Source organism: Homo sapiens, chromosome 5, assembly GCF_000001405.40.
Source record: "Homo sapiens chromosome 5, GRCh38.p14 Primary Assembly".
In the NCBI taxonomy this organism is placed as follows: domain Eukaryota; kingdom Metazoa; phylum Chordata; class Mammalia; order Primates; family Hominidae; genus Homo; species Homo sapiens.
Genome location: NC_000005.10, coordinates 134,254,057 through 134,268,524, shown reverse-complemented (window position 1 = coordinate 134,268,524; position 14,468 = coordinate 134,254,057). Strand labels below are relative to the sequence as shown.

Below are 14,468 nucleotides of genomic sequence, written 5' to 3'. Positions count from 1 at the left end.
TCACTTAAAATTGAAAATTTATCAGTATATAGTTGTTTTTGACACCCTCTTACTATTTTGTAAAAGTTGATAAGATTCTAGTGAAGCTCTTCCCCCACTTCCTGCTCTGTCACCCAGGCTAGAGTGCAGTGGCACTATCATAGCTCACTGCAGCCTCAAACTCCTGGGATCAAGTGATCCTCCTGCCTTAGCCTCCCAAGTAGCTGGGACTACAGGCACATGTTACCATGCCCAGATTTTTTTTTCTTATTTCTTTTAGATACGGGTTTCATTATGTTGCCCAGGCTGGTCTTAAGCTCCTAGTCTCAAGCTATCATCCCGTCTGAGCCTTCTGCCTGAGCCTCCCAAGTAGCTGCGATTACATGCACCAGCCAGCATCCTTAGCCCTTTTTCATTCTTGAACTTAGTAACTTGTGTTTTTTCTAATTTTTTATACCAATAATTTATTAAATTGCCTTTTCAATGAAGTGATTTTCTCTAGTGTATATTTGTTTGCTATGGTATTAATGTCTGTTCCTATCTTTTTTTTCTTCTAATGTCCTTAGATTCTGTTTATTTTCCAATTTAAATCATTGATTATCAGCCATTGTTCTTTTCTCGGAAGCATTTTACTTATTAATTTGTTTTTAGTTAAACAATCATTTTACTGCTTGAGTACATAGACAAATTTATGCGAGCAGGGCAGAGGCTGTTTGTTGATGACTCATATTTCCAACTGGGAGGGAGGATTCACTTGGTCTTATAATATCTAGCCAAATGGTGAATCCGGCTCTCTGTCAGAATCAGGCATAGTTTAGCATCCTTATCCTTTCTGTTTTGTTTGAGATGCTTTCAAATAGCAACTGCTTTCTTGATTGAATGGTACAGATCATCAGGGAGATCAAGAGCAAGTCCCTTGGACTTAAGAATTCTTAAGATTTCATTGCCTGTCACAAAGCGTACTTGTGCAACACATGTGCATCTCTCAGGATCACACTGACTTGTGAGGGAGTCAGGCCCTTTTTGGCCAGTTTGTAAATCTGCTCCTTCATGTCATCAGGTATCAACTTCAGCTGAGTGGGGATCCTGCAGCGATAGGGCAGAGCCCCTCCAAGGAGCATGCATGTGACCCATGATGGCTGCGGTCAGGCAGCGAAAGGCAAAGTATTTAAATGCATAAATTTACTTCTAAGCACAGCTTTAGCTGTATCACATGTTTTTGTATGTAGTATTATTTAGTGTTATTTAGTAAGCTTTTCTTCCAGTTTCCAATATGACATCTACTTTATTCCATGAGTTATTTAGAAATGTAATTCTCAGTTTCCAAGCCCGTGGGGAATTTTGAAATTAATATTTAGCTTAATTAGAGTGTGGTCAGAGAATCCCTCTGTATTATTTCATTCCTTTGAAATTTATTGATTTGTTTTATGTGCCAACATATAGTAAATTTTTGAACTGAAAAATAATTCTGTAATTATTGGGTGCAATGTTCTATAGGTGTCAGTTCAAGAGTGTTAATTGTGTTGTTTAAATCTTTATACCATATCTGATTCTTTGGCATGTGTCCTGTTTATTTGTTATTGAGGGTTATGTGTTAAAATTCTTCAAGCATCATTGTGGATTTGTCTACTTCTTCATTTAATTCTATCAGTTTTTAATATACATTTAAGGCTATGTTATTAGGTGCATTCAGTTTAGGTTTGTTGCATTTTTCTGGTGAATCGTACCTTTTTTTCATTATGAAATATGTCTCATTTCTAGTAATGCTTCTCACATTACAGTCTACTTTATGTGTTATTCATATAGCTACCTGTTTTGTTTAGAGTTTGAATAGTAACTATTTTTGTTTTCTTTTACTTTGAATATTCCTACATATTTATATTTCATATAAATGGTTATTTTATAAGCAATATATGGTTAGGTTTTAAATTTTCTATCCAGTATGACCATCTATTTCTTTTTTTGGAGCATTTTATTTGGAACCTTTTTTATTTAATATAGTTACTTATATGTTTGGTTTTATATCTACCACCTCGCTATTTACTTTCTATTTGTTCCATGTATTCTGTTTTCCTTTCTTTCTCTGTTACTGCTTTTTTAAAAAAATTATTGAGTATTTTTATTATTCAATATTTCCCTTTATCAGTGTGTTATGAGATATATATATTTGACAATTATAAGCAGATTTTTGTCACATTCATCTGTGACTTACCAGAGTTTAATAAAATTAGTATTTTATTCCTTCTAGACAATGAAAATACCTTAGAATACTTCAACTCTATTTGCTTCTCTCCCTACTTATGTGCTAATGATGTCATTTTTAAATTTTACATATATTAATCCTACAATACATTATTATTGTTTTAGACAGTTAACATTTACTCTTTTGTTACTATTTATTCCTTCCTGCATTTCCAAGCTTACACTGGGGTCATTTTTCTCTGTCTAAAAAATACTCTTTAGTATTTCTTTTAATGCAGACTATATGATGACAAATCCAGTCATTTGTATTTTCCCGTACCTGTCTTTATTTTACCTTCATTTTAAAGAATTTTTAAATTGATCTTAAGTGTTCAGTTGAATGAGTCGTGACAATTGTATTCACCCACGTAACACCACATAAATAAGGTATAGAACACTTCCATTTCCCCAGTGCTGGTTGCCAGTCAATTTTCTGTTTACCCACAATGCAACCATTTTCTGATTTCTGACATCATAGATTAGTTTTTCTTGTTCTTGGACTTCATGTACCTTGAATCCTATAAATGAAATATAATACATATAGTTTTGTGTAATGTTTTCAAAATCCATCCATGGTTTGCAGTTAACACTTACTTGTTAATTTCCTCTTTAAAATTTTTTTTGTTAAATTTTTTTGAGACAGGGTCTTGCTGCATCACCCAGACTGGAGTGCAGTGGCATGAACACAGCTTGCTGCAGCCTCCACCTCCTGGGCTCAAGCAATCCTCCCACCTCAGCCTGTCAAGTAGCTGGGACCATAAGTGCATCCCATCATGCCTGACCAACTTTTTTATTTTTTGTAGAGATGGGGTCTCGCCATGTTACCCATGCTGTTCTCAAACTCCTGGGCTCAAGTGATCATCCTGCCTCAGTTTACAAAAGTGCTGAGATTACTGCCATTCTTATAGCTATGTCATGTTCTAGTGCATGACTATAATACAATTTCTTTATCCAATCTCTAGTTGATGCACATTTGAGTTGTTTCAATTATTATGATTAAGGCTGCCATGAACTTCCTTGCACAAGTATTTTTGTGGATCTATGCCTTCGTTATCCTTGGAAAAATACTTAGAAGTAGAATTGTGTGGTCATAGGGAAAATGTATGTTTAAATTTAGGGGAAATTACCAAACAGTTCTCTAAGATGAGATAATTGTTTACACTCTCACCAGCAAAGACTGAGAGTTCCAGTTGCTCCATAGCTTTATAAACATCTGATATTATCACTTTATCCAATCTAGTGGGTGTATAATGGTACCCCATTGAAGCTTTTTTTAAATCGAAGTTTTAATTTGCATTTTCCTAATGAATAATGATGTTGAGCACCCTTTCACATGCTTATTGGCCATTCTTATGTCTTTTTTGTTTGTTCAAATACTTTGTACATTTTAAATTGGATTTTTGTTGTTGTTGTTAATTGTTAGTGGTTCCTGATACATTCAGGACACAAGTTTTTGGTCACACATACGCACTGCAAATATTATCTCACAATTCGTGGTATGTCTGTCTATTCATTTTCTTAACAATATTTTTTCTTTTAAAGGCATAAACTTATATAAAATAAAATGCAAGGGCCCTAACTATTTAACTTTATGAATTGTGGCAATTAAATATACCCATGTAACCACCACCCAAAGCAAGATATAAAATAATTACATCTCCCCTTATCCTCCTTTCAGCCAATGCCTCCCATCAAAGGAAACCAGTATCTGACATCTATCACTAAAAGTTAGGGTTTTTTTGTTGTTGTTTGTTTGTTTTGTTTTGTTTGTTTTTTGAGACAGAGTTTCGCTCTTGTTGCCCAGGCTAGAGTGCAATGGCACAATCTTGGCTCACTGCAACCTCTGCCTCCTGGGTTCAAGCAATTCTCTTGCCTCAGCCTCCCCAGTAGCTGGGATTGTAGGCATGTGCCACCACACCTGGCTAATTTTGTATTTTTAGTAGAGATGGGGTTTCTTCATGTTGGTCAGGCTGGTCTCAAACTTCTGACCTCAGGTGATCTGCTCACCTCGGCTTCCCAAAGTGCTGGGATTACAGGTGTGAGCCACCACACCTGGCCCCATTTACATATTTACTATATGTTTCCAGTTAGATAAAGTTCAAATACAAATAAAACTAACCTCTGGACTCTTTCAAACTCCTGACCTCGGGTAATCTGCCGGCCTCGGCCTTCCAAAGTGCTGGGATTACAGGCATGAGCCACTGTGCCCGGCCAAAGATATTCTTCTAAAAGTCTTAAAGTTTTCCATTTACATTTAAGTCCATAATACATATAAAATTATTTGTTGTGCTTGGTATGAGGCAAGAATTCAGTTCCTCTTTTTCTGTGTGGCTTACCAATTGTCCCAGTCTCATTTATTTAAGAGTCTATCCTTTCCCCACTTATTGTCAATACCATTTATTGACAATACCATCATATATTAAGTTTCTGTACATGTGTGGGTTTTTTATGCTCTTTATTCAGTTCTACTGGTCTTTTACCCTTACACCAATTCAATGGTGTCTTAATTACATCTTTAACGTGAATCTTGATGTCTGGTTAGACACATGCTTCTACTTTGTAATTACAACTTTAACATGAATCCTGACGTCTGGTTAGACACATGCTTCTACTTTGTTCTTCCTTTTTTTTTTTTTTTTTTGAGACAGAGTGTTGTTCTGTCACCCAGGCTGGAGTGCAGTGGCACAATCGCAGCTCACTGCAACATCCACCTCACAGGTTCAAACAATTCTCCTGCCTCAGCCTCCTGAGCAGCTGGGACTACAGGTGCCCACCACCATGCCCAGCTAATTTTTGTATTTTTAGTAGAGATGGGGTGTCACCATATTAGTCAGGCTGATCTCGAACTCCTGACCTGTTGCGGGAAGTCAGGGACTCTGAACTGCCTAGTGGAGCTGTGAGAAGAGGGCCACCATCCTCCAGACCCCAGAATGGTAGATTCACTTGTTATGGGAAGTCAGGGACCCCTGAACGGAGGGGCCGGCTGAAGCCGCGGCAGAATGACATAAATTGTGAAGATTTCATGGACATTTATCACTTCCCCAATCAATGCTCTTATAATTTAATATGCTTGTCTTTACTTTAATCTCTTAATCCCATCATCTTTGTAAACTGAGGATGTGTGTCACCTCGGGACCCTGTGATGATTGCGTTAACTGCACAAATTGTTGTAAAACATGTGTGTTTGAACAATATGAAATCTGGGCATCCTAAAAAAGAAGAGGATAACAGCGATTTTCAGGGAACAAGGGAGATAACCATAAGGTCTGACTGCCTGTGGGGCCAGGCAGAACAGAGTCATATTTCTCTTCTTGCAGAAAGCAAATAGGAGAAATATCACTGAATTCTTTTCCCAGCAAGGAATAACCCTGGGAAAGGAACGCATTCCCAGGGGGAGGTCTCTAAAATGGCCACTCTGGGAGTGTCTGTCTTATGCAGTTGAAGATAAGGGAGGAAGTACACCCTGGTCTCCTGCAGTGCCCTCAGGCTTGCTAGGATTAGGAAATTCCAGCCTAGCGAATTCTAGTCAGACCAGTTGTCTGCTCTCGAACGCTGTTTCCTGTTAAGATGTTTATCAATGACAATGCGTGCCCAGTGGGACATGGAACCTCACCAGTAATTCTAATTTTGCCCTGGCCTTGTGATCTTGCTCTGCCCTTTGCCTTGTGATCTTTTATTGCCTTTTGAAGCATGTGATCTCTGTGACCCACTCCCTATTCGTACACTCCCTCCCCTTCTAAAATCCCTAATAAAAACTTGCTGGTTTTGTGGCTTGGGGTTGCCATCACAGTCCTACCAATATGTGATGGCACCCCCGGAGGCCCAGCTGTAAAATTTCTCTTTGTACTCTTTCTCTTTATTTCTCAGACCAGCCAACACTTAGGGAAAATAGAAAAGAACCTACTTTGAAATATTGGGGGCTGGTTCTCCCAATACTGACCTTGTGATCCACCTGCCTTGGCCTCCCAAAGTGCTGAGATTACAGGCGTGAGCCACCACACCCAGCCTCTTATCTCTTTTCTTTTCTTTTTCTTTTTTTTGAGACAGAAAGTCTAGCTCTGTAACCCAGGCTGGAGTGCAGTGGTGTGATCTCAGCTCACTGCAGCCTCCGCCTCCTGGGTTCAAGCGATTCTCCTGCCTCAGCCTCCCGAGTAGCTGGGATTACAGGCATGCGCCACCACACTCGGCTAATTTTGTATTTTTAGTAGACACGGGGTTTCTCCACGTTGGTCAGGCTGGTCTCAAACTCCCAACCTCAGGTGATCTGCCTGCCTTGGCCTCCCAAAGTGCTGGGATTACAGGTGTGAGCCACCGCGCCCAGCCCATCTTTCTTAAATAAGACACAAAAAGCAAAAGCAAAAAGGAAAAACCAGTGACCAAATTTAACTGTACTTGGGCCCGGTGGTGCATGTCTATAGTCCTAGCTCCTCCAGCACCTGAGGTGGGAAGATCGCTTGAGCTCAGGAAAGTCAAGGCTGTAGTGAGCTGAGATCACACCACAGCACTCCAGACTGGGGAACAGAGGGAGACTCTATCTCAAAAAGAAAAAAAAATTAACTATATTAAAATTTAGGACTACTCTTCATACCAGAAGAGTAAAAAAGTGAAAAAGCAAGTCACAACTGGGAACTTAGAGAATTTACATAACTTATATAATTATACCTCAAACACATGGTGAATTCCTAAAAATCCACAAAGAAAAAAGACAACATACCGCAAAGAAAAGTGAGCAAAAGATAGATATGTCACAAAAGCAAGAAAGTGAATGGCCAAAAATATGAAAAAAAAAAAAAGCCTCAGCTTTATTAGTAAGCAGGGAAATGGAAATTAAAACCACAGATTCTAGTTTTCATTCTCACCCAGTTGGCAAAAGCTTATTGTCAACACCAAGTGTTGGTGAGGACATGGGGCAATGGAAATGTTCACACTCTGCTGGTGGGAGTGTAAATTGGGAAGACTACCTGGCATTATCTAGTAAATTGTAGATGGGCACATCCTGTGACCAACCATTCCTCTCCTTGGTTTTTATTCTGGAGAAAGTCTTGCACATGGACTTCAGGTGACATGTAAGGATGCTCCCAGCAGTGTTGTTTGTTACAGCAAAATCTGGAAACAGTCCAAAATCCATCAATAACAGACTGGATAAATAAACTGTCATGTATTATTAATATATATACACACAGACACAAACATGAATGAATTATATACACCAACATGAATAAATCACAAACAGTTTTCATAAGAAGAGCAAGTCACATTATGGTTCCACATATTTACGTTAAATACATACAAAACTAAATATATTTTAAAATACACAATATATGATTTGATTATAAAAAAAGCCAAGGAATAATAAATACAAAATTCAGCATAGCAGCCCTGTCTGTTGGGAATGTGATCAGAGAGAGCATACCTGGAACCTCAGTGTTACTGGTAATGTCATGTTTCTTGAGTCAAGAGTGCAAGGGAAGGCTGGGCACAATGGCTCATGCCTGTAATCCCAGCACTTTGTGAGCCTGAGGAAAGTGCATCATTTGAGGTCAGGAGTTCCAGACCATCCTGCCCAACATGGCTAATCCCTGTCTCTACTAAAAATACAAAAATTAGGCGTGGTGGCACGCACCCGTAGTCCCACTACTCAGGAGGCTGAGGCACGAGAGTCGCTTGAACCCGGGAGGCAGAGGTTGCAGTGAGCTGAGATTGTTCCATTGCACTCCAGCCTGGGCGACACAGCGAGACTCCATCTCAAAAAAAAAAAAAGTGCAAGGGAACTTGTTTTATTATTAGTCTTTAAATATGTTAATTGTATTTTTGTCGATATTATTTTTCACAATAGTATCTTAACAAAAACAAATCTTACAAGCTACAGGGGTTGTGGGGCAGGCAGTGGGAAGAGATGGGCTTAGTTAGTAGTCAATACAAGAAGTGCAAGAATCTTCTAACTCATTCCTCTAGGTGATTAGTAACCTTCTGTTTCACTTTTTAATTTAAAATTTTAGTTATGTATTTTTCTTATGAAATATTTCATAAATACAGAAAGGTATAGAATATCATAATCACCTATGTGTCCATAACCCAATTTAAGGTGTAAGGCTTGGCCAAGTGCAGTGGCTTACGCCTGAAATCCCAGCACTTTGGGAAACCTGAGATGGGAGGATCACTTGAGGTGAGGAGTTCGAGACCAGCCTGGGCAACATGGTGAAACCCGGTCACTACTAAAAATACAAAAATTAGCCAGTTTTGGTGGGCACTGTGTGACCCAGCTACTTCAGGGACTGAGGATGCTTGATCCCAGGAGTTGGAGGTTACAGTAAGCTACGATCACAGCCTGCACTCCAGCCTGAGCCATAAGATGGAGACTCTGCCCCAAAACAACAACAAAAAGGTCTAAGACTTTACAAAAATAGTGGAAGCCCTTTGTGTAACCCTCCCTCATTGTATTCCCTTTCCTGCATCCCCAGTAACCACATTTCTGAAATTTGTACCACTCCTTTCTATGCTGGTCTTCCTACTTTTACTGACATATGCATGTACCCTTAAAGGTTCGTATTGCACTGTTAGGCATGTTTGGCATTTTATATACATGGAATTATGGCATCATTTGGTCCTATCCTTCTGCAACTCTTTTTCCCAATGTTATTTTTAAATTTTTATTTAGAGACAGGGTCTCACTTTGTCACCCAGGCTGGAGTGCAGTGGCATGCTTACAGCTCATTGCGGCCTGTAACTCCTAGGCACAAACGATCCTCCTCCAGAGCAGCTAGGACTACAGGCACGTGCTACTATGTCCAGATAATGGTTGGATAATTTTTCTTTTCTTTACTTTCTTTTTTTTTCTTTTCTTTTCTTTCTTTTTTTTTTTTTTTTTTTGTAGAGACAGGGTCTTGTTGTGTTGCCTAGCCTGGTCTCAAACTCCTGGGCTCAAGCCATCCTCTTGCCTGGGCTTCCCAAAGAGCTGGAATTATAGGTGTGAGCCACCATGCCTGGCCCCCAATATTTTTCTTAATGTTTGTCCATGTTGATGTGGCAGGATTCTTTGTATCCAGTTTTAATTTATGTTTCCAATCCCCCAACATTTTACAAACTTTTTGTTATGGGAAATTTCAAACATATACACGAGTAAACAGAATCTCATAATAAGATTTTCATAATTCCTCCTGTTACTCATCACCCAGCTTTAACAGTTATCAACACGTGGTCAGTTTTGTTTCATCTATTACCCAATTCATTTCCCACCCTCTTGTATTATTTTGAAGTAAATTCCAGACATCACATAATTCTTTCCTAAATATTTCAATATGTGTTTCTAAAAGCTTAGGGTTCTTTTTATAAAGATATAATCACTTATCACACCACAAATAATTAACAGTTTCTTTTTTTGAGACAAAGTCTCGCTCTGTGGCCCAGGTTGGAGTACAGTATCCTGATCTCGGCTCACTGCAACTTCTGCCTCCTGGGTTCAAGAGATTCTCTTGCCTCAGCTTCTTGAGTAGCTGTGATTCCAGGCGTCTGCCACCATGCCCAGCTAATTTTTTGTAGTTTTAGTAGAGACGGGGTTTCGCCATGTTAGCCAGGCTGGTCTCAAACTCCTGACCTCAAGTGATCTGCCCGCCTCAGCCTCCCAAAGTGCTGGGATTACAGGCGTGAGCCACCGCACCCGGCCAACAGTTTCTTAATATCATCAAATATCCAGTGTTCAAATTCCCAAATTTCTCATGTGTCATTTTTCACATTCTGTTTGAATCAAGTCTTTATTTTTGTTTTGCTATTGTTGTGTTTTTTTGTTTTTTTGTTTTTTTGTTTTTTTTTTTGTGAGACAGAGTCTCGTTCTGTCACCCAGGCTAGAGTGCAGTGGCACAATCTCAGCTCACTGCAACCTTTGCCTCCCTGCAACCTTCACCTCCTGGGTTTAAGTGATTCTTGTGTCTCAGCCTCCCAAGTAGATGGGACTACAGGCACACACTACCATGCCAGGCTAATTTTTTGTATTTTAGTAGAGATGGGTCTCTACTAAAGTCTAAAGTTCTGGTCTCAAACTCCTGACCTCAACAATCTGCCCACCTCGGCCTCCCAAAGTGCTGGGATTATAGGCGTGAGCCACCGTGCCTGGCCAAGTCTTTGTTTTATTTATTTATTTTTATTTTATTTTTAACTTGCTGATATGCTACCCCATGCTGAAGATCTCACTCTAGTGAAGCGCAGTTTTCTCACTCCATTGATGGGTTAAGAATATAGACTTCTTCAGGTGGCTTGTAGGACCCAAGAGCATTTTCCACAAATGCCTGGTCTGTACATCACTGAATTTCTTTTTCTTTTTTGAGATGGAGTTTCGCTCCTGTCGCCTAGGCTAGAGTGCAATGGCGCGATCTCGGCTCACTGCAACCTCTGCCTCCTGGATTCAAGCGCTTCTCCTCCCTCAGCCTCCTGAGTAGCTGGGATTACAGGCACCTGCCACCATGGCCAGCTAATTTTTGTATTTTTAGTAGAGATGGGCTTTCACCATGTTGGCCAGGCTGGTCTCAAACTCCTGACCTCAGGTGATCCTCCCATCTCAGCCTCCCAAAGTGCTGGGATTACAGGCGTGAGCCACTGCGCCCAGCCTCATCACTGATATTTATTAACTCTTTAATGTTGTTGGTTTTTTTATGCTTCCTGTGGTCCTTATATAAAGAGCTCCTTTAAAGTCTTTCTTCTTAACATCTCATTAGATGGTTATGCAGTTACTCAGGATTTACCATATTGAGTAAAATAAATAATACTTGTTTACTAATAATTCATGCTAAGCAAATACTGATTTCCATAATCTTACCATCATTGCTCTTCCTTAAAAGTGAAGAGTGTGGGGTGAGATGAAAGAGTGAGGAAATAACCAAATGAGATAATGTCCGGGTAAGTAGACTGTGACCTGAATGGTACTGTACAGTGCTGACAGCTTCTTAGCCTAGTCTTACATTCAGGCTCTCATCCAACATTTAGGCTGCTGCAGCGTGGCATTAGACAATGCATGTCTAATGCATGCAGTCTTGCCAATTGCTCTGTGTTGTTGGCACAGTGGTGTTTCAATGACAATTTCATTATTTTCCTTTTTTTTTTTGAGACAGAGTCTCGCTCTGTCACCAGCCTGGAGTGCAGTGGCATGATCTCAGCTCACTGCAACCTCTGCCTCTTGGATTCAAGCAATTCTCGTGCCTCAGCCTCCCGAGTAGCTGGGATTACAGGCACGCGCCACCATACCCAGTTAATTTTGTTTGTATTTTTAATAGAGATGGGGTTTCACCATGTTGGCCAGGATGGTCTTGATCTCCTGACCTCATGATCCGTCTGCCTTGGCCTCCCAAAGTGCTGGGATTACAGGCATGAGCCACCGCGCCTGTCCTATTTTCCTCTTTTTTGTAAGAATAAAAATGAGTAGAATTGGGAAAAAAAATGAGGCTGCTGGTGCTAGTGATTGGAAGCATTGCTCTCATAAGTGTGCTGAAAGAAGACAAAGACAAGCTCCTCAGAGGCACTGAGAGCAATGAATTTTTAGCCTCATCTGAACTCTTAGTCACGTGCCAGCTGACATATATTCAGTTGTTAAGAATAAAAGGAGGCTGGGTGCTGTGGCTCATGCCTGTAATCCCAGCACTTTGGGGGGCTGAGGCGGGTGGATCACTTGAGCCCAGGAGTTCAAGACCAGGCTGGGCAACATGGCAAAACCCCATCTCTACTGAAAATATAACAAATTAGCTGGGCATGGCAGTGTGCACCTGTAGTCCCAGCTACCTGGGAGGCTGAGGTGGTAGGATGACCTGAGCCCAAGGAGGCTGAGGCTGCATGGAGCTGTGATGACACCCCTGCACTCTAGCCTGGGCAACAGAGGCAAGACCCTGTCTCCAAAAAAGAAAAAGAAACAATATCTACAAATTCTAAAAATACATTGTTCAATGCGGTGATTAAAATGTGAAATATAATTGGGCATTTCATAATATTTTTAGCTTTCTGGGAATGAACTGCCCTTAACACATTTAAGCCTATTGTTTGACTTTCATACATTTGTCTTTTTGATATGTTTCAGAAACACATTATGTTCAGAAACATGGAAGGGCCCATATGTGAGTAAAACTTCCTCTCTCATAGTTACCCACAGAGTTACAACTCTGGAGATAGAGTGAGGAAACCAGCCTAGACCTATCACAAGGTTGTCATTCTCAGCCAGCCTGGAGAGAAGGGCAGAGAAGAAAGGGGGTGGGTATCTTGCCCAGGAGAACAAGCCACTTTTTCTCTGGCAGCCCAGGGCAGTCATTTCATGAGAGGCCAACCTGATGACATGTGCCCCATTCACATGGTCAAAATATGCTGTCCAGCTGCTCTGTTTCCTCATGTGGTAGGCGCTACAGGTGTCATCTTTTGGTATTTGGGTGATGCAGGAGCCTGAACAGCCTCATTTGAAGTCTTGATGACATTCAGAACCTGGCAGTGACTTAAAGTGTCATTTAGTACAAGAGAGAGGACTCCTTCAGCAGTTAGGATTGGAAGCCCAAAGGGGCTGTTTACCTCATGGCCTTGAGCATCTGCAGACAGGATCAGAGGATGCAGTATGGGCATGCAGCCTTCACCATCTGCTCTGCCTTGAATTGCAAGTATACCAAGAATGCTCATCACAACTACCTTCTCAGAAAAAGGAGGCTAGAAGTGATTCATAGCCCTATGCAATATTTTAGGTCCAATACTGTGTATTTATTTTGGCAAAAGCTTTGGGAGCACAGGAAGTCATAGTACAATGGTATCACTTGACTCTGACATCGCTAATATTACTTTTCCCTTGATAGTACACTAAACTCAGCTATGTTAAATTATATTTCACTGTATTTGCCCTCAAGAGATAAATTCTGCTTAATAGTAGGGAAATGGTCCTGGGCCTAAAATCTAGCTTACACTTTGAGATTCTTCTGTAAAAGAGAACCTCAGAGGAACAGAAACCTATAAGGATGATCATGAGCCTCAACTTTATTCAACAAACATTGGTGAATTGTATTTGAATTGCCCTGTTTGCTAACTAGAATGTGAACAGTTGTACAGCAAGGAACCAAGTTTTCTTCATCTTTTATTCCCCCATGGAACTTATGGCACTTAGCACGTAGCAGGGATTCATTAAAGCAGAGCAGAAAAGATGTGCATATAAATAATTAGAGTACAAGAAAGTAGTTAGGGATGAGAAAGAGACGGTGCATGAGCTGTGGGATCCCAGAGGAGAAGAGATGACTTTCAGCTGGAGGAACTGGAAAGGCTTCACAGGGTGGTATCAGCTAAGCTAGGTCTTGACAAATAGCTGGACCTTAACAGATTGAAATTTAGAGGATAAGAGTTATCATATATTGAACTGTGCCAGGCATTGTGCTAAGCATTTGACATGCCTAATCCAACTGAATCCTCCCAGCAACTCCATGAGAAATATACCCTTATCCCATTTTATTTATTTAGTTTTCCATAAAATTTAATAAATTAGAGATGGGTGGTCTTGCTATGTTGCCCAGGCTGGTCTTGAACTCCAGGGCTCAAGCAGTCTTCCTGCCTCGGCCTCCCAAAGTGCTGGGATTACAGGCATGAGCCAATGTGCTCAGCCTCATCATCCTATTTTAGAGCTGAAGAAACTTGTGGCTCAGGCAAATTAAGTGATTTTCTCAAAGTCACACAGCTGGTAAGTGACAGAGCCAGGATTCTACCCAGTCTGAAATAAAGGGTAGTTCTCTTTTTTTGAGATAGTTTCGCTCGTGTTGCCCAGGCTGGAGTGCAATGGCACAATCTCTGCTCACTGCAGCCTCTGCCTCCTGGGTTCAAGCGATTCTCCTGCCTCAGCTTCCTGAGTGGCTGGGATTACACGCATGCGCCACCATGCCTGGCTAATTTTGTATTTTTAGTAGAGATGGGGTTTCTTCATGATAGTCAGGCTGGACTCGAACTCCCGACCTCAGGTGATCCACCTGCCTCGGCTCCCAAAGTGTTGGGATTACAGGTGTGAGCCACCGCGCCTGGCCTAGGGTAGCTCTTAAACACTGCGCTATACTGGCCCTAGTTCTAGAAATGAATTCAGTGGTTCAGTGTTTGGAAAAATATGGACTATGTTCTAAAAGCATTTACTAGTGATATGGCTGGAGGATGGAGTATATGGAGGGTGCAGAGCAGAGGGAAATAAAGTTGTTTGGTAAGTCAGGGACAGGTCACAGAGAACCTTGCATGCTATGCTAAGGAACTGGGAGATTTTTGGA

General features: G+C 40.7%; 1 pseudogene; it reads right to left on the bottom strand.

Moving 5' to 3' along the window:
- On the bottom strand, window positions 625-1,139 carry RPS13P6 (ribosomal protein S13 pseudogene 6; annotated as a pseudogene).